Genomic DNA, 26,791 nt, shown 5'->3' on the forward strand with positions numbered 1-26,791 from the left:
TCCATAGTTGCTGAACTAGTTCACATTCCCACCAACAGCGTATAAGCCTTCCCTTTCCTCCACAGTCTTGCCAGCATCTGTTGTTTTTTGACTTTTTAATCATAGCCATTCTGCCTGGTGTGAGGTGGTATCTCACTGCAGTTTGATTTGCATTTATCTGATAATCAGTGATATTAAGCATTTTTTCATATGTTTGTTGGCTGCTTGGATGTCTTCTTTTTAGAAGTGTCTTTTTTTGTCCTATTTTTATTTTTCCAGCAATCCCGTTACTAGGTATATCCGAAAGGAAAACAGATTATACCGAAAAGAAACATTCATTTGTATATTAATCACTGCACTATTCACAATAGCAAAGACGTGGAATCAACCTAGATGCCCATCAATGGTGGATTGAATAAAGAAAATGTGGTGCAGATATACCATGGAATACTATGCAGCCATTAAAAAGAATAAAATCATGTCCTTTGCAGCAACATGGAGGGAGTTGGAGGACATAATACCATGTGAATTAACACAGGAACAAAAAATCAAATATTGCATGTTCTCACTTATAAGAGGGAGCTAAGCATTGAGCACACACAGACATAAACATGGGAACAACAGACACTGGGGACTACCAGAAGTGGGGGCATGAGCTGAAAAATTACCTATTGGATATTATGCTCATTACCTGGGTCCAATATAACTATGTAACAATCCTACATGTGTACCCTCTGTATCTAAAATTAAAGCTTAAGTTGAAAAAACATCTATGCAATTCCCCTCCTACAAATATTTTCTTTGTGCCAATTCTGGCCTTGCTAACTCTGAAATCACAGGTTATTCTAGTGAGCACCAATGTCAAGGAATCTCTTGTAGAAATCATCTTTACTTCTCCAGATTCTGGATTCTATTCAACTCAACAAACTTTTGTACATCCTTGGCACTTTGATAAGTATAGGGGACTGAAAGATGAGTAAGTCCTGAACCTAGTCATCAATATGTTCAGAATCAGTAGTGCTCCAAGTGACCACTCTTGCAGGCTCCTCCTTCAGCCAGTTGCCTCCATTCCAGGCATGTTACTGTCTCATAAAAGCTATAATTAAAAGGTGCTTTTGACAAGAGTGTTTCACATAGGAACTTACCCAACACCGGAACAGTGTTTGGCAAAAAAATTTAATGTATGACCTAGATAATTTCTCTAAGTTTTCCTTAAAGAGCATTAGACATTCTTTGATCATGATTGAGCAATGTATGAATCCAAGGAACCATCCTTGCACTTCATACACAAAATAAACAGTTAAAATGACTCCTATGGAAAGCTATTTGGCAAGGGACAAATGCTTGCCTTTACTATTACTTTAAAGTGTCTATCAGTAGACCCTAATACCACATCTGTCTCATAGCCATCATTGAAGACATCTTTATTGAATAAATATATGGAGAAATCAATGGGCGAATGGATACAAATTTTATTAGAAGGTATTGACGTGTCTACTGAGGGAAGACTGCTAAGAAGAAGGAGTAGAGGTGCAGGATGCCTGGTGTGGCAGAAAAAGCACTGAACTGAAAGTCTAGAGAATTTCACACCAGTGCTGGCTTTGCTGCTAATATGATGTGTATGACCTTAGGGAGCAGTCAGCTTCTCCAGGCCTCAAGTTTTCTTCTGAAATGAAAGAGTTAGGTTTAGATATCCAAAACTCAGCTTTAAAAACAGCTCTTGCCTTCCACAATGTATAATGTTATTACTATAGTGTTAAAAGAAAAACGTCAGCTGAATTAAATTTAAACAAGTTTAATTGAGCAATGAGCGATTCATGAACCGGGCAGCCCCCTGAATCACAGCAGACTCAGAGAGACTCCAGGGATGCCCCATAGTCAGAACAAATTTATAGACAAAAAAGGGAAGTGGCGTACAGAAATCAGAAGTGAGGTACAGAAACAGCTGGATTGGTTACAGGTTGGCATTTGCCTTATTGAACACAGCTTGAACACTTAGCAGTGTATGAGTGGCTGAAGTATGGCTTCTGGGATTGGCCAAGACTCAGCTATTGTTACAGGCACACACTCCTAAGTTAGGTTTTCAACCCTGTCTTCCTATTAAGTTGGGTTACAATTCATTCACAAGTACTCAAATATAGAAGTACAGAGTCCTGCTCAGGCCATATTTACTTTGCTTTAACAAGCGGTTCCATTCTGGTTGTCTCATAATCCATATGCCACAATTCCCAGCCCATTCAATAAGTAGAAATATATATGCAACAATTAAATTTCAGATTATAAAAAAGATTTTTAAACTATTTTTGAAATAGTTGGTGTTATGATGTCATAAACACTGCAGAAAAAAGACAAAATCAGAAAATGCTGTTGATCACTGGACTCTTTCTCAACATTGAAAGCAAACGTGGCTGGGGCAAAGTGTGCCAGAGACTCAGAAACTTGCTTGAAGCATTACTTCAATATTACGGGGAAGTCAGCTGGTAAACCACAGCACAGAGTACTGCTGATACTCTCAAGAATAATAAGTTCTTCTAACTGATAGTAGTGAACAGTTTGGGTTTGTTTGTTTATTTTTTGCAGTTGGCTGAAAGCATTTCCTTTTTGAAATAGCTCAAAAGCTACCATGATAGAAAGTTTGTAGATCAGGGGGCAATTCTTGGAATCTAAGAGAATTCTGACTTTGATTGTCGAAGTGCACTAGAGTGGAAAGATCAAGTTTTCTTTCTACTAAAAAAGAGTGCACTGAATGCTATTTGAATGGCCTTGTTTTTTAGGAAATGGTCCTGTCATTCAGGTTGAAAGATGAGATTGCTTGACTAATTATGTTTTCTTTTGCAAAACTACCTAAACTACCTCACCATCCATTATGCTAAAGCCTTAATGAGTTATTTCTAGAAAAGGCATACCACATACAGTCATCATCATAAAAGCATTTAATGAATAAATTCAGAGCAAGGATGCCAGCTCCAATGCCATCTTCTCCAGTGGGCCTTCTTATTGGTAGAATTAATCTCTTCTTTTAAGTGCTATCAGGACTCATTGATTTTACTTTCAAGTTAAAAAAAATTACCCTGGGAGAAGACCATAGATCACATGGAGGTGGCATGTCAAGTCGTTATTTTTTATATTAAGAGGAGGAAATATGAGTATTATCCCACAACAGACAAAATAGACTCACATTTATAAAACTGATTTCAGATACTGATAGTATATGAAATACAAGACTGTTCTGTAATTTTTAAACTGTAGTATATTGGGGTATTGTGTTGGGATCTTTATATGATTTGGGGAGGGAGGACAGTTATGTTCTCTTCCATCTTCACCTTCATCCTATCTCTCAATCTACTTGAATACTATTTTTATTCTTTTTTTAACAGGTATATTGAGGCGTATTTTACATACAATAAAATCCACCCAATTCATATGTACAATTTAATAATTTTTTAGTTAATTTATTAAGTGGTGCAGCCATTATCATAAATCAGCTTTAGGACATTTTCATCCCCAATAAGATCTTTCACACCCAACTACAATAATCCCCAACCCAGCCCTAGCCCCAGGCAAAAACTAGTCTACTTTATGTCTCTATAAATTTTCCTTTTGGAGACATTTTATATAAATGGAATCACATAATATGTAGTTTCTCATGTCTGGCTTCTTTCATTTAACATAATGTTTTTGAGTTTCATCCATAATATAATGTGCATCAGTAGTTCATTCCTTTTTATTCCATTACATGGCAATAACACATTTGTCTGTCTACTTACCAGTCAATGGGCATTGCACTGCTCCTAGTTTAAGGGCTATTATAAATAAAATTGCTATGAACACTCAAATCTGTGTGCAGATATATGTTTTCTTTCCTCTTGGGTACGGAAATGGACCCAAAAAGGAGAAGAGAAATTGCTGGTCTGTTTAATGTTTTTATTCAATCCTTCCATACTAATTAATTCATTGGCTATATAAGGCAGTTGTGCCCTATGGAAGAATATTACACGAGTGAAGTTTACTGTCTTATGAGAGAAATAAAACATGCACATAGAAAGGTATAAAGTGGTGTCCTAGAGAGGTAGATTTTGGAGGAGGGAGATACTGGATTTAGTAGAAAAACAGGAAGCTTTCCTGGATGAAGTAGTGTAGTGCTGGGGCCTTGAAGAATAAATAGGAGTTCAATAGCTGGACATTTTTGATGCAGGTCACTTTCTGCTAAATCCTTAGTGTTGTTCTTATCTATAAAAGCAAGAAAGACGGTCACATGGATTTGAGGACTTATGGGCTCCAGGGCTGGCTCAGTCTCTCTTTACAGTGTGTCTAAATTATCTGGGCCTTGATTTTCTCATTTGAAAGAATAATCATCCCATTCCTCTGGATCCTTTTCTTGACTTCCCCCTAATTTGTCACAGGGCTTGAGAAAAAAAGTGCTTAAGGTATTGGATGTAAAGGGCTTCTCTTTAAGTGAATGTCTTTCTCCAAATTTAAACCCAATGCTTTGTAGAAATGTGTTGATATGAAAAGACTCTAGAAAGAGGTCTTCCATATGTAAGCTGATATCAGTAAGCTGAGCCATGTATATTTTAGAATACCTGAGTGGGCCCTACCTGATTTTGAAAAAGTTTATCTCTAACCTAGACAACAGGTATTCTTCTCCTCCTCAATTAGTTTAATCAAACCACACTGACCTTTCTGTTAATACCCCTTCAAAGCCTCTGAATTTACCATTCCCTCTGCTATGAATGTTTTTTTTCCTCCCCATCATCCAAAAAGGTAGCATCTTTTTATTACCCGGAATTTACCTCTATAGCCACACTCTGATGGAAACTTTCATTGACTAGGTAACACAGCGACAATGATGTATGTAGTGGACCTGAAATGTAGTGGTCACTCAATACACATTAGCTAGAACTGACCATCAATATTAGTTATATTGCTATTTATACTGTATTAGTTTGCTATGGCTGCTGTAACGAAGTACCACAAACTGGATGACTTATACAACAGAAATTTATCATCTCACAGTTCTAGAGGCTAGAGGTCCAAAGTCAACGTGTCCACAGGGTTGATTCCTTCTGAAGGCTGGGACAGAAACATCTGTTTCTGGACTCCCTTCTTGGCTTGTAGATGGCCATCTTCTCCCGATTTGTCTTTGTGTTGTCTTCCCTTCATGTGTTTCTCTGTGTCCAAATTTTCTCTTTTTATAAGGACAATAGTCATGTTGGATTATGGCCCACCCTAATGACCTCTTTTTAATTTGATTACTTCTGCAAAGATCCTATTCTAAATGATGTCACATTCTGAGGAATGGGGAGATGCACTTCGACTGGTGAGTTTTGGGAAGATGAAATGTAACCAATAGCAAACATTATTATTTAAACTGCTGTTAAAAAGAAGTTGTTCCAAAAGGAAATTGTTCTTGGAGGAACATCAATGTAGACTCTAGTTCGATGACTCTGGGCAAAAAGCAGACAATTGCATTAGAAGTCTAGCCCATGGGACAAAATGTTGCATTTATATGCCATTCGACTGGTCTACAATGCTTTGCAATGAGGCATGTCACCATCTTAATGAAGCAGGCATTTTCCTAGGCATTCAGGCTAGCCAATTAATCCAGGCACTCAATAAGAAAACACATAACCCACCCAGGCCACTTTCCCATATACTATGTAAAGTCAAGAACACATTTAGAATCTATGCACACTGACTATGTAAACACTAAACAAATCAAAAAGGATGGAGGCAAGGGTAATACAGTTACCTTAAGGAGGAGGTTAAACCAACATGTTTCTCTATTTTATTATTTACTTGGCATTTTTAGGCTTATCTGCTTTTTCATAAATGAAGGTTGATACACATATAAAACAGCTGTTTTTGCTGCACCATTTAAAATGAATTCTTTTTTCCCAATCTGTTGATAGAAGACAATTAAAAGAAGATGAGAATTTCACTTTTTGACAAGCAAGACCTCTTAAACTTAAATGATTACTTGCTCATAGTAAAGTGTGATTTTTAAAGTATAGTATGTAACATTTCCCAAGAGAATTTGCACTTTTTTTTTTTTTTTTTTTTTTAGACAGAGTTTCACTCTTGTTGCCCAGGCTGGAGTGCGATGGTGCCATCCTGGCTCACTGCAACCTCCGCCTCCCTGGTTCAAGCAATTCTCCTGCCTCAGCCTCCCAAGTAGCTGGCACTATAGGTGCATGCCACCATGCATGGCTAATTTTTGTATTTTTAGTAGAGAGGGGGTTTTTCCATGTTGGTCAGGCTGGTCTCGAACTCCTGACCTCAGGTGATCCACCTGCCTCAGCCTCCCAAAGTGCTGGGATTACAGGGGTGAGCCACCACGCCAGGCCGGGAATTTGCATTTTAATGCTACAACTTATGAAAAGGTAGAACAAGGGCTCCTTTAAAGTTGAAGAAACTGATAAAACAGAAGGATTAAGTGATGTGTCTCAGGTCACAGGGCACTTTAGGCAGCCATGTAAGGACTGAGTTGGGGATTCTTGGGTCCTTTCCTATAGATTGTGCTCCCTAAGGCCTAGGAAAGGGTCCATGGAGGAACTTGAGAAAAGGGCACGAGTATTCTATTTTAACACCAGTCTTTGTCACGTGAAATATTTATAGGTAAAGTGTTTTTTCGGGTCGCTCAGGGGTAGAATGGGTAAACATTACCTGACGTTCAAGTACGTATTACTACTAGTCCAGGAATCTAGACATTAAACTTGCCTTCCTTTGTGACTTTCCAGGTACACTGCCATTCTGGGGATGCGTATATGTGTATGTATCTGTATGTGCAGAAGTGATCACTGGTAAGGTAGAAATTGAGGATAAAGAGAAGGTAATGTATCCCATAATGATGGCAGTACCAACATCTCAGGGAGAAAATGCTGATCCAGGTTTTAGACTTGTACTGCTTTGGCCCCAGGAAGATATGGAAAATGTGAAAACCCCATATGGAATTTGTAGAGACATTTTGCAGAAAATCATGATCAGGATCAAGAGAGATGAAAGTTTCATCAGAGGTTCCTGCCAGCGCACCTCATTGAGGACACATGGAAATAGACCAAAGCAGCCTGTCAGGTTGCTCAGCCAGGGAATATATTTTTTAAAAAATATGTTCATCATTTATCTTGGTAATTACAATCCAAGACTGTAATACATTATAAATGTTAGAAACCTAAGACATTGGAGAGGAACAGAGAATATGTGAATATGTTTTTTTTTTAAGTTACATAACTTAAGAGTTGAGCTTCTTGAGGTCAAATGCACTATAACATCAAAGGGAGCCAACATGGGAAATTTGTACTCTGTTTCCAACTTTTTCTAGGCTAAAGCTCAGCTGCTACAGCACACCCTCAGCTGCTTGTTCTTTCTTTACAGTTTGCTAGAGTATGTGTCAGGTAAGAGACTGTATAACATAAATATCAGCAAGTAAGAGAGGTTCTTCCAAATCACAATATACCAACATTTTATCAAGGAAGTCAATTAGCTTTTCTAAATCTCAGTGTCCCTGATTAAGCAATCTAATTAGAAAAAAAAAACCCACAGTTACTACAATATAAGCCTTCAGATTTATTAAAAGTAAGATATTTTATTTACTTATTTATTTATTTTGAGACGGAGTTTCACTCTTATCGCCCAGGCTGGAGTGCAGTGGCATGATCTCGGCTCACTGCAACCTCTGCCTCCTGGTTCAAGCGATTCTCCCGTTTCAGCCTCCTGAGTAGCTGGGATTAGAGGCATCCATCACCATGCCTGGCTAATTTTTGTATTTTTAGTAGAGACGGGGTTTTGCCATGTTGGCCAGGCTGGTCTCAAACTCCTGACCTTAGGCGATCCATAGAAATGGTGAGTATGAAGTGCTATGAAAGGAAAAATATTTAACTTTTTCTTGGGCCTGGGGGAATGCAACTCAGACATGAATTTCACCTTGTACCTCAGTTTCCACATGAGTGACATGAGAATACTAACAGTACCTATTGTGAGGTCACTGTGAGGATTAATTTATTTTTATTTTTTTAATTTTGTTTATTTATTTTTTTTGAGATGGAGTCTCACCTTGTCTCCCAGGCTGGTGTGCAGTGGGGCGATCTCGGCTCACTACATCCTCCGCCTTCCAGGCTCAAGCGATTCTCCTGCCTCAGTCTCCCAAGTAGCTGGGACCACAGGCATGTGCCACCATGCCCGACTAATTTTTGTATTTTTAGTAGAGATGGGGTTTTTCCATGTTGGCCAGGCTGGTCTTGAACTCCTAACCTCAGGTGATTCACCCACCTCGGCCTCCCAAAGTGCTGGGATTACAGGCATGAGCCACCATGCCTGGCCTAGGATTAAATTTAAAAACACACATAAAGGGCCTCTCTCAGTGTAAACACTTTGTAATGTTAGCCAAACTCTGACGATATTATTACTAAAGACAAATAACTCCTATTCATCCCTCAAGAATGAGCTCAGGTGCAGTGTCATTCAGAACACCTTCTCCTAACCATGGCTACCCAAGTGGAACAGCCCTTCTCCTGTGCCCCCACATCACCCCATGTCTGCTGCGTCGCAGCCTTGCCTGACTTGGTGGCGATCACACCTGTGTCTCAGGCTTACCCCTGTGTAAGCCCCTAGAGAGTAGAAACTGCATTTTATAATTCCTTGCATCCCAGGACCGAAGTGCAGGCCTAGTACAAAATAGTTGTTGAATAAAGTTATCCTCAATAAATATTTGTTGAGTAGTACTTGAATGAAATGGTAATGAATCAAACTGGCTGCTACTGAGAAAACTGGGGTGATCCAAAACACTGGTTTAGAAAATCCTAGTTTCCAAAAGGCCACAAAATGCCATTGCTGTAGCTATGTGTTCTCAGTCAACCTACTCTCCCTACTCCTCAATCATACCCCTGTGCCAACAAATACTAAATGTAGAGGTTAGTGTCTACTGTCAAAATGATTTAGAAAATCCTGATTTCAAAGTGTTTCAATTTGTTTTGATTTGATTTGCCTTTATCATAAGATTTATCAGCCTGAGTGTCAGCAGAATGCAAAATTTCCCAAAGACATTGGGCTTGGATGCCATTCTGTTTGAGAAACAGTCCTTAAAGAAGCATGGTCTCCTGAAAGGCCCACACCTGTATGGATGAGCAAGTCAGTAAGACAAAGGTTCCACCAGGCACAGAGTCTTGAGGGGGTGCATGACTCCCTCCCCACAAGGAATAGGGTCTTTGGATGAACCAGGGTCACAGGTGAATGACCCTACAAGGCATAAAGGGCTATAAATCATTAACAGTTTGTATTAGTCAGTGTTCTCCAGAGGGACAGAACCAATAGGATATATGTATATATGAAAGGTAGTTTATTAAGGAGAATTGACTCACACAATCACAAGGTGAAGTCCCATGATAGGCCATCCGCGAAGTGAGAAGGTAGGAAGCCAGTAATGGCTCAGTTTAAGTCCAAAAGCCTCAAAAGTAGGGAAGCTGACAGTGTCAGTCTATTTCCAGAGGCCCGACGGCCCCCGGCAAACCACCAGTGTAAGTTCAAGAGTCCAAAGGCCAAAGAACCTGGAGTCCGATGTCCAAGGGCAGGAAGCATGCAGCACGGAAGGAAGATGAAAGCCAGAAGACTCAGCAATCAAGCTTCTTCTGCCATCTTCCACCTGCTTTGTTTCAGCCGTGCTGGCAGCCAATTGAATGGTGCTCACCCACACTGAGGGTAAGTCTTCCTCTCCCAGTCCACTGACTCAAATTTCAATCTCCTCTGTCAACACCATCACAGACACACCCAGAAATGATATTTTACCAGCTATCTAGGCATCCTTCAATCCAATCAAGTTGACACCTAATATTAACCATCACACAGTGGTATAAACAATGCTATCTGACCTTGGGGAAGGAAACAGACCTCTGACTTTGGAGAAGAACACATAGAGTTTGTGTTGGTAAGAAAATGATGAAGGGTCTAATATTTCTAATGTCTATTGGCAGTTCTTTCATTATAAGCAACAGAAATCAATTATGCATAATTTAGGAAAAAAAATTACCAGGAATACAAGGAGCAGCTCACCACGTTGAAGAGAAAACTGAAGAACCAGTTTTCAAAGAGCAAGACCCAAGGCAGTTTCTGAAAACCCAGGCAGTGAGTACTAGTGACTGGAGGCTACATGCACCAATAGTGATGAGCTCCACGTGCTCTGCATCTTGGTGCTCCTCCCGCAAGGCTCAAATTCCAGGGAAAGAGCCTCTGATTGACCTTTCCTTGATCACATGACCACTGATCAACGTCTCACTATCAGAATATCCAAAGTGCATTTGGACTGCTGTTACCAGAAGAAAGTGCCATGGATGTTGGGCAGTGTAACAACAGCTGACTGTAACCTGTGGTCTCCTCTCAGCAACGCTGTGTAGTACTAGGACTTCCATTCAATGGGAGGGAAGAGCGAGTCTTGCAAGTTTAAGCAACCAGTCCAAGGGATTTGAATGGAGTACTTGCCTGAGTTTGGAGCCCAAGAATATCACTGTTACAATTTTTTTTTTCTCTGGCAGCAAAGTCTAGGCTCTTTCCACTACAAAGCTTCTGAGCTGGGCTTTAAAAGGTGGGTGGGATTCCTAATGGCAGAAACATGAAGGGAAAGAAAGTGGGAAATGACCAAGTCATTTGCTATGCCGTGCATTTGGTATTTGCACCATTCCCTTCAGCCAGAGATCCAGTATGCTTTGTAAATGTTAAACCAAGAAAAAAAGCATTCTAGGAGTTTCCTTTGAGACTCACAAACATTCTGCTAAAGGGAAAGCAATCCAAGGCAACATTTGTTTAAATTAAAAATAACAATAAAAAGAAAAACTTGACATCTATTCCTGGCCAAAGGTTGAGCATTAAATAACATTCAAATTTGGCTTTGATAAAAAATGTATGTTGCTTTGGATAGCTATATTTAAGCAATTTTTGCAAGCCTCAGAGGGAACTAAAAATTCCTTAATTGCTTCCTCATTTTTACATACTCCATTACATTGAACCTCAAACAGCATCTGTCACTAAATTACCAGCATTACAAAAACAGTGTGTATTCCATACATGGAAGAACCTCAAATACCTGAAAATAACTCCAAATATTTAAGGGACCTATTGAGCATTTTTTAACATTAATTTTAGTCTTTAAAATTTCTTGTTATGCCTAGTTATCTGGAACATACCCTAAGGCCTTTGTTTTTTTTTCATTTATAATAAAAAAAAATTTCATTGAAATTCTCCCTAATCAGCCTATTTATGAGAAGAATAGTTATGCATCTTCAAGAAAGCAAAGATAATTATGCATTTGACATTTTAAGATACTGAACCTTATATCAGAGATTTTAAGAACAAAGAGTGTGTGAAATGGAAATCAATATTTTGGGAGCTTCTTCTATGTGCCAGATAGGTGACTAGGCCTTTTCCATTCCAACATCTCTGCGATCCAAACATCAGCATTTGGAGAGCTGTCATCTGCCCCAGTGATACTGCCCTTCAGAGGCCAGGTAGTTGGAGCTGAGAAGCAATTTACTTGAGGCCACATAATAATTAAGTGGGTGAACTGGACTTTAACACAAACTAGATAAGGCACTAAAGCTCTTGCCCTTTACAAATAGAATATGTATTTTTTTTCAAGAGCCAATAGTCTTGAGTCTCCATCCCTTTCCCACTCCAAATAATCTATAAGATGAAAACAAGACAAAAAATGAAGTTTTCTAAAAAGACTAGTGGTCAATGCTTTGTCTCTTGTTTTGAATTCTAGCCTTGCCTCAGTTGCTCAATGATCCAATAGCTATCACAGGATTGCCACATGCCACTATCTTCCGACACATGGCAAACCCTGAAACTCTGAAATGTCAATTCTAATTCTTTCTTATTCATTAACTCCAGACTGATCACCAAGTCTTGCCAATTCCATCTGCATGCTTCTTAAAACTGCCCAGGAAGCTCCAGGTCTACCCCTTTTGCCAGCATGTTCATGATACGGCATCGTGATGTGCTGCTTCTCATTTTCCACTTCATTTTTCTATCTCTCCCACTAGGCTCCAAGCACTAAAAGGCAGGGCTGAGTCTCCTTTGTCTCTGGGTGCCCCATGCCTAGCACAGATCCTGACATAGCACCGGGGCTCAGCAAATGTTGGCTAAATAAAGGAACAAACATGTTATGTATGACAGTAGATGCGTGAACCCTCTAAAAGAAATAATAGAGCAATACAAACAGAATAGTATTGGCTCTGGTCTTCAAAAGCCTTTTTTAAATTCATGTGCCTGTTTCTGGCTGTTCTCTTTGCTCCAATTAGACACATTCTTTTCTTGTCTCTTGAGTTCACCTTTCCCTGCTTCCCTGATATTTTGGCTTTCTCACTGTACCTAGAATACATACAAACTATAATTGGACATATATCATATGCATGTACATTCACTGCCTGGATCCAGCATTCCTATCTAAGCAATTCTACCCAATGAGCACTAAAGGAAAGGCAAAATACACTTACTATTAGTTTTCTTTAGAATGCCCTTTTTTGCTTTGTGTGGTCAATGCTGGTCTCTCAAAGGATAGTTTCTAGTCACCTTTACTACAAAGGCCTTTCTGATCTGCCCCCATCTTGTCTGGTGTCTTCTATTAGGACATCTCATTCCGATGGTGTATCATTCTGGGTTCAGTCAGAAAATGGAAGCCGTGCCAGAGAGTACACTAGAGGTAATTTAATATGGGAACTAGTTACAGCACTGGGAGGGCTAAAAGAGCAAACAGGAGATGGTGAGACCACCCAGAGGTTAGCAACAGCAGAAAGCCACTATCCCTTCTGTGGAAAGAGCATCAAATGGTGGTGGCATGACCAGAGCTCAGGACCTACAGCTACTCTGAAGTGAGGGGCTGCCCAGCAGGAGTTGGAACAACAGGGGAAGCTGTGACTATGGCCAGAGATGCTTCTTGAAGCAAAAAGAGGCAGGCAGAAAGACCTTGGCATTGTCCCTTTCCCTGTTGTTCAGCTTCCTGAAAGGGCCTCCCATTGGCCAATTGATAAAGGTTGCCTGGCCTTGCAGGTTGCAAAGGTCACTCTCTGTGGTGCGAAGTCAATTAGGGGAAGAGTGTCGAGTAGATCTGAATCCAGACAGCAGAAAATATCATACTCTTTGGGTCTCTTCCCTGCTTTTCTGGTCTATACACTTATTTAAATAATGTATATCATGTCTATTTAATTAGGCCATTATTTAATTGAGTTTAAGCCCCAAGGCAATGGGAAAAATATTATGGGCTCATTCACTACCCTCCCAATCTGGTCATTCAAACTTCCTGAGCCACAGTTTCTTCACCTCTAGGAGGGAATTGTAATACTTACATCCGAAAATAGAAATTCAATAAGATAATTGATACAAAACATCTAGGAAATTACTTGGAATGCAGAAAGTCTTTTGATAAATGGAAATTTTGTTTCTTTCATTGTCCTAACACCTGGGAAAGGGTAAATTTCCAGGAGAGCTGGTTGTGTTCTGTCACTTCACAGTCTCTCCCCATACCTTTGTCTCTCTCTCTCCCTCTCCTCTCCCCTCCATACACAGTAGATACACACATATATCACGATTTAGAACTTCATTCACTGAATTCAAAATCGGCATCTTCATCATTATGTATCCCTCTTTCCTTCTTCTCTCACCTAGTAAGCTCTCTCCTTCCCATCTCTTCACCTCTTTACTTTTTCTTGTTTGCTTGCTTTCTTCCTCCTAAGACAGCATCCCTTTAAACTTCAAAGCACTTATGACATGAGGAAAAATATTTGCCCATAGAAGTTGGTCTAGAAGGAATTTCAGCAGGAGTTGAGATGAAGAATTCAGTAAACAGAGCATGGGGCCAATAATAGACCGAACTTGTAGCATTGTGCTTGCTGAAGAACCCTGGAGTAACTCCCTAGATGTTAGAAAATCAGGAAGATGGATCCCTGAAAATCCATGTTTTCAAATTCAGTCACTCAGGTGCTCCTAACATGCTTGATATCTACAATACATATCAGTGATCTGTTCATTAGTAAACTTTCAGACCTTTTCCATGCAATACGTTCTTTCTTTCTCCTTCTCCTTCTTTTCCTTCTTTCTCATTTTTTAGGAAAAAGTGGCCTCAGAAATGCCTATAATTTCTTACCTCCTCCTGCCAAAAAGTGTTTCAGTTCCTACCACTAAATTTACTACTAAAATCCTGGCTTCTCTCTTTTTCTTTATCAGATGCAAATTAGTTTTAAAAATCTATGAAGGACCTATTATGTACAAGGTTGCATGATAAGTACTTTGGGGGTGATTTTTCTTTGAGTACTTCAGGTTATTTGGTTATTAGCTTGACACCGTGGAAATACATCTGAAGAAAAAAAAATTCTCCTTCTCTAGTGCTTATGTTCTTAGAGGAATTAGAAAAAGACAGTCACAAAGGAAACTTTTCTAGCACAGAGAACTATAAAATACGAGTCTTTGTTTCTAAAATCACCTGTACTCATTGTTTCTATCCCCTAAACCACAATATGGTTACTTTAAAGCCATTTCCTAATTACAAATGTTCCAGCTATACTCTACTTAAACAAATTTACAAGAAAAAAGCAAACGACCCCATAAAAAGGTGGTCAAAGGACATAAAGAGACACTTTTCAAAAGAAGACATACATGCAGCCAACAATTACATGAAAAAAAGCTCAACCTCACTGATCATAAGAGAAATGCAAATCGAAACCACAAGATACCATCTAATACCAGTCAGCATTACTATTATTAAAAAAAATAAAAAAATAACAGATGCTGGTTAGGTTGTGGAGAAAAAGGAAGGCTTATCCACTGTTAGAAGGAATGTAAATTAGTTCAGCCATTGTGGAAGACAGTGTGGCAATTCCTCAAACACCTAAAGACAGAAATAACATTTATCTCAGTAATCCCATCACTAGGTATATACCCAAAGGAATATAAATCATTCTCTTATGAAGACACATGCAAACAAATGTTTATTGCAGCACTAATCACAATAGCAAAGACATGGAATCATCCTAAATGCTCATCAATGATAGACTGGATAAAGAAAATGTGGAACATATACACCATGGAGTACTATGCAGCCATAGAAAAGAACGAGGACATTTCTTTGGAGGGACATGGATGGAGCTGGAGGCCATTATCCTCAACAAACTCATGCAAGAACAGAAAACCAAATATCGCATGTTCTCACTTATAAGGAGAAGCTAAATGATGAGAACACATGGACACATAAAGGGGAACAACATGCACTGGGGCCTTTCAGAAGATGGAGTGTGAGAGGAAGGAGAAGATCAGGAAAAATGATGAATAGATACTAAGCTAATTACCTGGGTGATGAAATAATCTGTACAACAAATGCCCACCACACACGTTTACCTATGTGACAAACCTGCACTTGTACATCTAAACTTAAAAGTTAAACAAAGAAACAAGAGAGAGAGAAAGAGAATTTCTAGGGAGCTGATACAGTTTGGATATTTGTCCCCACCTAAATCTCATGTTGAATTATAATTCCCAGTGCTGGACGTAGGTCCTGGTAGGAGGTTGTTTGGATCATGGGGGCAGACCCTCATGGCTTGGTGCTCTCTTCCTGATAGTGAGTTCCCATGAGATCTGGTCATTTAAAACTGTGTGTGTGTCCCCTCACCCACCAGCCTTCTCTCTCTTGCTCCTGTCCCCGCTTTGCCTTCCACCGTGACTGTAAGTTTCCTGAGGTCTCCTCAAAAGCAGATGCTGGCGTTATGTTTCCTGTACAGCCTGCAGAACTGTGAGCCAACCAAGCCTTTTATTTTATATATTACCCAGTGCCAGGTATTTTCTTACAGCAATGCAGAAATGGCCTAATACAGGAGACCACATACGATATTTGAGACAGTGCCAAGCTCTTGGGAAAGAGAACAAAACAGAGCTCCTCCGGACAATATATTATGATAAATTTCACAAGAGATGTCAGGACCCAAGCACACCAAGGAATGAGAGACTAATGCTTTTTCCTCAGATGTCCATATTTGTCCTAAAGGTGAGTAGGAGTTTACCAGCTAGAAGAGGGGCTGAGGCTATTCAGGGCAGGGAAAGGGCAAGTGAAAAGTCACATCACTCCAGCTCACAAATACTGCCTTTGTGGGGTAGATTTTATTGTTCTTCCTAACAATATAATATTCTTCTTGTTGTCCTAACAATCGAAGTTTCTGTCCATTCTTGTGGGTGAATTAGGCATCGCCACCTGAAACCATGATACAGTGTCTCCTGTGGAAGAGTAGATTTCCCCAACCCCATTGATGTTGGCTTCGGCCATGTCACTTGCAAATTGACTTGATACTTATTATGTTTAAGAATATTTAAAAACCACTGCATATATTTCTACAGACTCTCTTTTACACTTTTTTTCCCCACAAAAAAAAGCAGGTCCCTGATAAGAATTGTTTCTTCATCCTGGTTTCTGAATGGCAGCTAACCCACAGATGCCAACAAAGATGCCATAGGAAATAAATGATTGTCCTATGACATTTGAGATGTGGCAGGGGGCTTGTAAATGCAACAAAACTACATCATACAAATCCTCCTTTCTCTCTGTCTCACAAAAAATACTTTATACTTTCCCAAATTCTATACCACATTATGCATTAAGCATAATATGAAGAGCTATCACTTCTATAGTTAATTTTAAAAATTAAAAAATTTAAGGTTTAGTCAATGCCTCTGTAAAAATGAGTCTGATTTTTCCAGTTTCTACAAAAAGAAAAGTGGCTCAACAACTCTTCCTAAAAGAGCAGACAGTCTACTAGGAACTAAGGGGACACAGAAATTAATGAGGACTGATTTCATTTCCTTTTTCTTCCATCTGTTCCAAGACAGTTACATTGTTTTGTTACTATCAAAAGATAGCAAGTAGAGGCCACATAGCTTGGGGAAAAAAAACATTGAAAAATAACTGAATTCTAGGTTTAGTCAGCTCTGAAATGAAAAATAAGACCTATTCTTACTCAGGTTTAAGTATCTCTGTTTTACAATTAAAGAGTTGAAGAGCAAATCTCCAAGGTCCTTTCCTTTTATAAAATTATTTCATTTCAGTTTGCCTAAACATATAAAAACATAGTGAACCCTAAGCTCCAAAGGATCCTTTCATGTCTGGTTTATTGTAGCTTTCCAATGTCTGGCCCAGTACCAGGCATGGAATAGGTGTTCAATAGAGGTTTGCTGAGTGACTGAGTGACTGAGTGAGCATATGCAGGAAACAAATATTGAACACCATTGTGCTTCAGGCTAAAAATCTTAGTGTTAGCCACTAAGATCCCCCAAGTGGAAAAGATACAATTTCAGTTACTTTCAATAAAATACAGTGAGTACAGCAACAGAGAAAGGCATGGGGTGATATAAAAACCTACACATATAAGAACTCAAATTGGCCCTTTGACCCAACCTCGTGTTGGAAAAGGCTTTTCACTTCTCAAAATATTTGCACATCTATTAGAAGTATTTTCAGAGTCATATTTGAGGAGTAGCTATTTAGGGATTACAAAATATCAGTCAGGTGAGATGTGTCCCCTTAAACACCATATAAAAATGGTTCAAGAAACTTAAGAGGGGCAGGAGGATAATAAAACCCAGGCTTCCATAAATTGGAAATAATGGAGAAAACAGAGCTCTTCAAACAACTGCTCTAGAGACATCCCAAGAGATAGAAATTTAAGACAAGATTTTTTTAAAAGTCTGAGTGTGAGGCTCAATCACTATTACTAAATAAGGAGTTAATATTACTTTTATATATAGAACATATAGTTCTTTTAAAGGGGGCCATGGATGGGGCTCATTTTAGTCTGAGACCAGTTGAGAAATTTTGGATGGCTGAGATGAACACCTATTAGTCAGTGGTCTCCAGTACTATTATTTGACCATTTTTCTATTTAGAACTCATTCAAGCTTATATGGCATATTACATTTAATTAATTGAGTGTTTATGCATTAAGGAGTTATTTGCTTGTGACTATAGTGAAATTTCCAGGATTTACGACAGGAACGTTTCAGAACAGCGACATGTGTTTCCCTCCGATTTGTATAGCTTCATTCATTATAATTTTTCCTGATGTTTTGCCTACCATATTATTAACTTCCCCAAAGCAATGAAATACCAGCTTGTCTTCTCACGGCAGAGAAATGAGAGGAATAATTATGAATGTGGAAATCCCAGTGAAAACATGCTTCTATTGAAAGAGGCTAGTAGTCCAAGAAGGAGCTCCCCTAGATTTATGGAGACCACTAAAAGAAAAAAAACACACACACACAAGAAAACAGATGCATTTTTTTCATCCAGTATGCTGGATGTCCCATATGCAGGGGAAAGAGATTATATATAAATATATTATATATGTATATGTATATGCATATATGCGTGTGTGTATGTGTCATGCTGGGAAAGAATTTATATTTTACTACAAGTTATAAAGTCTAAATAAATCATCAAGGTTACAAGTGTGTGCCACGCATAAATATTTAATCACTGCAAAGTGTTCTTTTCAAAATGTAAGGGTTTGTAAGCACAGTGTTTGATTTGTAACTGACTCCAGGGGCAATGTTGAGATGTGTTCCTCACAACTCTTGGCTACTTAAGATCTTACAATCATGAGGAGGAGGAGAGTGTTAGGCAGATTTCAATGCCTGTCAATGAAAAGACATAGAATAGTCTGGGAAATCAATTCCAGTCAGGGCTGTAGATCAGCAGTTATTTTACAAAGAGCGAGGGCTGACAGGACCACCACAGTCATTCGTGTTTATTGTTCAAACAGGTGTTTGGGGGCCATCCAGGCTCAATGCAGATCATGTGAAGAAACCAGCAAGGGGCAAGTTTAGGGAGAAAGGAAGAGGACAGTAAGGGGCCAGGCAGCAGGAGAGGGCAGGGTGTAAGGACAGGCTTGGAGGCAGCCTTCCCCCAGTTTGAGATGGTGTTTGTCTTATGACATCCTGCAGCCTCCATTGTTATTTCTCACAACATCACGACTGGTGTAGGCACTCTGTCCATCAGGGTGGCCTCTTCTCACAGGAAAAAAAGAAGCCCTTGATTTACATTCTGCCTTTAGAAATGTTCCCTGCCTTTCTGCTTCATGTTGCCATGTTTTCCTTGCCTACCCTGATGTTCCACATTCGTTTACACAACCTCTCAACTGGCCACCAGTTCCAAATGTGTGTTCATTAAGAAGAAGGTTAGATTGAAAAGTAACTCCCAGCCTCAATTCCTACTTCCAAAATCTGTGCCTGAAAGCGGCCCCACAGTTTAAAGTTATTTCTATCTGTGGATATGTGGGGAAGAGAGTGAAATTTACAAAGTAAAAGTAACCAGCCCAGGACAGGTCATTTGGGTGATGAGGTAGGGATAACTATATTTTCTTAATGGTCAACTTTTTTTTAATTTTCTTAAAGACAAAAGGTTTATTTAGGAAAAAGACCCTAATCACCCATCTGGGACGGGGAGACCCTGTACAGCAAAGAAGTTTCCAAATCCGCAAACCTCAGAGAAGCGGGTAATTGCTATTCATGAGACAGGTAATGGAATGGTACTAGGCTCCTGAATGGCAGGAACAGAGAGGGATCCAAAGAGACCAGTGGGCACATGGGAAAAGGTCCTGGGGAAAGGTTGAGAGAAAATCCCACTTACGCTGTGGCTAAATAAGATTTTAGGGAAAAGAAATGTTTCATGAAATATACACTGCTTACACTTTCTCAGATTTCTTCCATCACCCCCTTCTTCCTCTCTCTTAGGCAGAGCTCCTGATGGGCCAATTATGCCTCCACTTCTGGAGACTGATAAAATTCTACAATGGGGACATGAGATCTGATCAGCCACCAACAGTCCAGATGATTCAACATGGAAGAGAGAGAAAGAGTTAGCTACCCTTTGGGATGAACTATGATCAACGGGAAAGAGAAGGCAGGGGGATACTGAGACATAAATCCCATTTTGTTTTTTCTTCCTGGGACTTCTCCCTGTTCCCTTTTTCCCTACCAGATGAATTCTGTGTGGTAACCAAGCACACCTACCTAGTGATCTCCTGGGTCTCTTTTTGACATGTCTGTTTGTTTCATATTTCATTAAATGTATTTGTTGAGCTATTGCAATACAGACACTCTACTAGGAACTAAGGGGACATAGAAATTAACGAGGACTGACTTCATCTGTGGGAAACCTATGAGGGCTTCCCTGGGAAGGACATGTTTAAATTAGTACTTGCAGTGTACTGTGATAATAGCAATAAGCCAAGTGTTCTAGAGGAACAAGCTGTGACACACGATCATTGTGAGGGCCCCTACCAATGACAAGCCAAAATTTGGAACTCAACCCAGTGTATGAAGCTCAGGAAAATGTGATGTTTATTATTAAGCTTTTATATGTCTCAAAGCAAGATTGTGGGGGTTCAGAAACCATTGATTCTCAATGCTTTATTTTCAAATCCTTAGCTTTTACAATAATTTTCATTATAAATAAGAATTTCATAGAAATGACCCAAATCCACCTTTTTAAGAAACCTAATAGCTGGAACAAATGCCAATCATGAGGCTAAAGCTCACACCAAGTTTGTTATCAAAACGAACAATCCAGAGGTGGCACGGAAGGTGGCCTCATTGAAACACTGACCTCGTCAAAACATTGGGGCATAAGATCCCAAAGAACAGCAATATTCATTAAGAAATAATGCACCCACTTTTAGTCTAAACTTTGTTATTCTCTGATTTTTCAGAAGTAGCACCAACTTCAGTCCACACTGAAGAATTCCCCAAGGTAACGTACTATAATTTTTAAACTTCTATATTAACCATTCAACTTTTCAATCTTAACACATGCAAAGGTGTATCTGTATAATAAATATTTGGAGAATAAAATAGATTTTCTGGAATTTCATGTTATCATATTATAAGATAGATAATTTGAATTGTGATAATTTGCCTTGCATCTTCTGTGTCAAGTTTCCACCAAGTGATATGTTGGAGATCCCCTGACATGATGTAACCATTTCTCAGAAAGCAAGGAGCCAGTGAATGTTCTAATGCTCCAAATATAAACAAAGTATCGTTGTGGTACGTGGCCTATAATATGGACCCCAGGGATGTCTGCCTCCTGGCATTCACCTTTTTGGGTAATCCTTTGTGAGTGGCCGTACCTAGTTATTTGCCTGTACTGAATAGCATAAAGCAAATGTTATAGGATGTCATTCATAAATTACGTACAAAAAACTGTAACTTCCTTCCTGTTTCCCTTCCCTCCCCTGCCCTTCCCTCACCTCCCCTCCCCTTCCCTTGCTTTCCCTTCTTTCTTTCTGGAACACTCACTTTGGAAGATATAAGCTGCCATTTTGTGAGTTGCTTCTATGGCTAGAGCCGCAGGACAAGAAACTGATTTCTCCGGCCAACAGCCAGTGAGGACTACCAACAGGCAGTAAGTGAGTGAACTTGGAGGCAGGTTCTCCCCAACTCAAACAATTCAATCAGAAGACTGCAGGTGCAGGCCCAGCCCCAACCCCAGCCCCAGCCATGGGACTGCAGCCCATGAGAGACCTTGAGCCAGAGAATGCAGCTAATCCTCATCCAAATTTACTCATCCACAGAAACCATGAAATGATAACTGTTCTTTGAAGCTGCTAAATGTGGGGATTATTTGTTGTACAACAACACATAAATAAGACAATAATCTTGCTCCCAATTTTAAGATAGTTTCTCCATAAGTCATTGCTAAGGTGTATTAGTCCATTTTCATACTGCTATGAAGAAATACCCGAGACTGGGTAATTTGTAAAGAAAAAGAGGTTTAATGGACTCATAGTTCCACATCGCTGGGGAGGCCAAGGCTTCACAATCATGGCAGAAAGTGAAAGAGGAGCAAAGGCACATCTTACATGGTGGCAGGCAAGAGAGTGTGTTCAGGGGAACTGCCTTTATAAAACCATCAGAGCTTGTGAGACTTATTCACTATCACAAGAACAGTACAGGAGAAACCCACCCCCATGATTCAATTAACTCCCACCAGGTTCCTCCCATGACATGTGGGGATTATGGGAGCTACAATTCAAGATGAGATTTGGGTGGGGACACAGCCAAACCACATCATAAGTCATACCTCAAAAGTCTAGCTATTGAAATAAAATCATTGATAAAGAACAATTGAAAAGCCAAGATCACAACTTACCACGACTCATTGGCAAAATTTTCCCCAAAGTTCTATAAAACCAGTGATTCTCCATATTACCCATGCTGCCCTTATCTTTTAACACATTGCATATAAAACACACTCTATTTGTTCGTTGTCTTGTTTTCTTCCAATTAGAATAGAAGCTCCATCAGGGCAGGAATTTTATTTTATTTTTTTCCCCACTCACATGTCTCAAAGACTAAAACCAGTGCTTGGCGCATGAGAGTTGCCCAATAAATGTTTCTCGAATGAATTAATTTGACAGGTTTCAATGTTAAATTTATAACTTCTACCCACAAGCCATAAACCATAAAAATTGCTGTTCCCCAATCACTGCTTCCATTTTCCCAAACTCACAGTTTGCCCCAAGCTGTTAATTCCACCTAAAATCCTGTATGTCTTAGATGGCATTTCTCAGATGCAGAATCTAAGACAAGAACTTGTGGGAAATCAATTTATTAAGAAACTATGCCCAAGAGAAACCAGGGAAGAGTGAGGAGCATGACCGACAGGAGAAATCAAGCAAGGGTGTGATTTCAGGCAAAGTATAAGAGAGGGTAACTTCAGCTTAATCCCACTGGGGAGCTGTTAAGTGTAAATTATCCCTCCAAATTACACCCATACTAATCAGTCATTGACTAAGGGCTGCCCCAGGGATGTAAACTCCAAGGTACTTGCAGCTCTCCACAAGTGTGGGTAGAGCCAAGGCTAGGCCTCCAAAGAAGAGACACAGGTGCTGGCTTTAGAAGGAAAACAGCACGGAAGCCGAGAGAAAGGAATGGAGAGCCAGTAATAGGGAACCAAGGAGACCTGAGTGGAGTTCCAACAGTGTCTGCTATTCTACATAGGATTTTTACTAGTTTATTTTATTGAAGTCCTACCAACATTCACATAATTCTTTCTCTATGTGCCTCAGCACTATACTAGAACCCTGTATACAGCCTTGTTATTCTTCATTAATTTTCCCTCTACTTTCCTAGATTTTAAACTCCATAAAAACAGACATAATAAGTTACAGAATTTTGTGCCTTCCCTATTGCGTTGTAAACATAGCAATAACAATTAATATCTCTAGACTGTAATCCCCATGATGGTGAAGATCAGTGTATCACCATATATTCAGCAACTGTCACATACACCATATGCAATATACCATATACAAGTGACTGGTGTATGGTAGACACTAAGTAAATGTTTTTAGAATAAGTATGAGGGCTTTATAGGCTACAAAAAATGTTTTCTTATGTATTATTTTATTTATCCTTCACAGGATACAGAGAGGCATATGTAGTAGAAGGGACTATCCATTTTTCAGAAGAAAAAAAAAAAAGGGCTCAGCAATGCAGACTGACTTACCCAATGACGAACTTACTAAATAGGTACTGAGCAGTGCCTCAGGACTAAAGTTGATTTCAAGTCCAATTTGCTTTCCCCTAAGCAATCCTGATTGACGAACAGACTGGGAACATATTTGAAGATTGAAATCAGTTGAGAGACCCAAGATGACCCAGTCTTAAAACACAAATCTATCTCAAGGTGATTTACTCCAAGAAAAGTCATAGAAGGCACATTTATTGAGCACATAAAAGATAATCAATAAATTTTTAATTTTATCGAATTAAATCACATGAAATAGAATGGAAATGGTTGGCTGGAATTAAATTAGATTGAAATAATTTAAATTAAACTAAGTTTTCTGGTGTCTGTTACTTCCTGAGTCACCCATTTTTGTGTAAAATTGGGAGTGGGAGAAGTAGAGAGGAGGCTAGAAGGGAGGCTGCTGACTGCCCACTGCTGGCTATAATTCATTAAGATGTGGGAAGAACTATCAACAGGTGAAATCTCCAGAGCACAGCCTTGCAAACTCATCTCAAACCATGTGCTCCTGCTATTCTCCAGGCAGCATTCTGTTTACCCAAATCCTTCATCACAACTCCTGCCACCTTAAAAAAAACCTATTATTTTCCTTACTACTCTATCGTCAATTAGATATCATTGGTGAAAGCATTCAGACAGTCTAGTTTATGGCAAGATGGGAAGGACTGATTGATAGAAACGCTATAGCAGATGCTCTCTGTACCTCAACCCTATCCTGTTCCAGGACACATCCATAGAGACCTACTACAAACTCTGAAGACTGCCTGAGAGTTTGGCCCTAGCACGGCAGACAGGAAGACAGTGTTAATGTCCCCTGAAAGTAGCTCTCACCAATGGCAGGTGGGAGTTGAGAAAAAGTACCCTGATTTTCTCACTCTTCTAATGGGCAATTCTATAGTGTAGTCAACATGTCTTTCTAGAGTTTCCCAAAGGGATTGAACCTTGGTTGCCCATAGCAGTCACCTTTTCAACTGCATACCTTTTCTTCGTTTCCTTGTCTTTCCTGTCTCTTTCCCACTCCCAAGCCAGTTGCTATGATTTAAATAAGTTCCCTCCAAAATTCATGTTGAAATTTAATCCCCATTTTGGGGATATTAAGAGGTGCTATTAAGATGTCTTTAGGAAGTGATTAAATCATGAGGACCTTCATGAATGAATTAATGCCCTACAAAAGGGCTGGGGAGAACTAGCATAGGCCCTCTTTGCTCTTCTGCATTTCTCCATGTGAGGACAGAGAAAGAGGGCCCTCACCAGATGCCAAATATGCCAGCACCTTGATCTCAAACTTGGCCTCCAGAAATTTAAGAAATAAATTTGTATTGTTCATAAAATACCTAGCCTCAGGTATTTTGTTATAGTAGCACAAATGAATTAAGACACATTTTTTCCCACAATCACCTCTAAAATAAACTATTTGCATCCAAATCCTCATCTCGGGGTTTGCTTCTAGTGGAATCTAAGCCTAGGTTGTGTTATGCCATTCAGGTGCGTTTAACTGTTAAAAGCAGACAGGCAGAGCAACAGCCCAAAGGCATAAACCAGATTCATCAGCATCCAGGGTTGAGTCATGTGACAACCTTGGCAAATAGATTATAAAATCTTTGACTTGTTAAGTGCAACAGTCTTTAAATTTGTGTTGATCTATAGTTAATACTGACAGAATTAATCTAGTCTGACAATTGGAGAATGAGAGAATGTTAATAAATAAGATAGTCCAGTAGGGGGAATAAATTGCAATAAAGAGCCTGCACAGAAGCATCTCCAGGAGTGGTCACGTGACAACGTCCGTCTACATAGCAAGTAGACTGGCATGGTGGAAAGAGCTCTGGACCAAATGTCAGAAACCTGGATTCCAGTGCTGTTGTTGCCACGAATTCATGGCTCAGCCTTGTTATTTTATCTCTTTTATCTTCAGTTTTTCTTCTGGAAACTTACAGGACTGGATTATTTGATTTCTACAGCCCTTTTGGGCCCCCGGTTTCCATGAATCCATGGAAGCGGATAAAGTGCATAGCACTTCTTTAAAGGTGTGTTCCACAAGTAATTAATAAACAAGCAAACTGTTCACACAGCACTGGCTGTGTGAAGAGGGACTGTTTAATTAGGCACACCAGCTGTTCCGATCTGTCTAGACAGACTTCTCTTTTTCCCCAAGATGGCTTTGGCCACACTTGCTCCGACATTATGACAAGGTGTCCTTTGGCTGCAGATAGCAATTTTGTTGGGTGATAATTCTAATGCCCATAGAGTCAGCTATGGAACTTTCTTTAGTTTTAATGCTGTTTGCCTTTCCAAGTGGAACTGGAGAGATTTACCCAAGAAATAGCTAAGAGAGGCAGTTTGTGCAACAGAAGTCACCAAAAATAGCTTCTAGTTTAGCCTTCGTGCCTACCTGTCCATCATCATTAGTGGGCTCTTTAGTTCCTGCTCCCATTTCCCATCCCTGCCTTTGCGGAATAAAATATTTCAACATCAAAAGGAAACTTCCAAGACATTTAGGTGAACCTCCCACCAAACCAATATAATAAGCCTTCTCAAGATCTCTGACCAAAGATCTTGAAGCAGAGAAAGTGATTCCTTGACACCCAGGTTCCTCAATATCCAGGCTTGAGTCATGGGACAACCTTGGCAAATAGATTGTAAAATGTTTAACTTCCTAAGTGCAACAGGCTTCAAATTTGTGCTGATCTATAGATGATTTGAAACAGAATTTATCTGATCTGAGAATTGGATAGGAAATCTATGAAATAGCTGTTAGTAATTAAAGAGCATTTTCAAAATGTAGCCAGTCAATTAGATAAGCACAACTCATTGGATAAGATTTTTTAAAAACATTACATTTTCACCTTTTATTGCCTTTCTCAAATGTATTCAGGAGAAGAAGATGAAAAGTTGTCAGGAAACATAACTTTATTTTATTATTGTAGTCCTCCAGTTATATTAAGCCATAAAACAACCTTCATTCAGTTACTGAAAGTATCTGGTCAAGACACTACTCAACAGTTCAATCCTTATTCATGCTTAGACTTCTCCTAATTCTCACCCCACATAAACATAGAAAAATTATTTTTAAATAAAATAAGCAATTCAAAAATCATATATTAGAAGGACAACACAGCATGATCAAGAGTGCAATCAAGGTTCATTTAAGAAATGTAAGGTTGATTTAACATTCAAAATCCAATCAATGTAAAGCTTTTCCCCTAAGAGTGGGAATAAGGTAAGTGATATACTTCCACTCTTACAGTCAATTGATTTTTG

At 39.3% G+C, this 26,791-nt stretch overlaps 1 long non-coding RNA gene across 1 annotated transcript; it reads right to left on the reverse strand.

Annotated features, from left to right (window-relative positions):
• Window positions 1-1,758: 1,758 nt before the first annotated feature.
• LOC124900668 (uncharacterized) lies at window positions 1,759-26,791 on the reverse strand. The gene is made up of 2 exons (XR_007058050.1): window positions 5,732-26,791; window positions 1,759-5,426 (listed from the first exon to the last, which is right to left on the reverse strand). It is a non-coding gene; the product is annotated as an uncharacterized LOC124900668 (long non-coding RNA).

This window comes from Homo sapiens, chromosome 4, assembly GCF_000001405.40.
Source record: "Homo sapiens chromosome 4, GRCh38.p14 Primary Assembly".
NCBI lineage: Eukaryota > Metazoa > Chordata > Mammalia > Primates > Hominidae > Homo > Homo sapiens.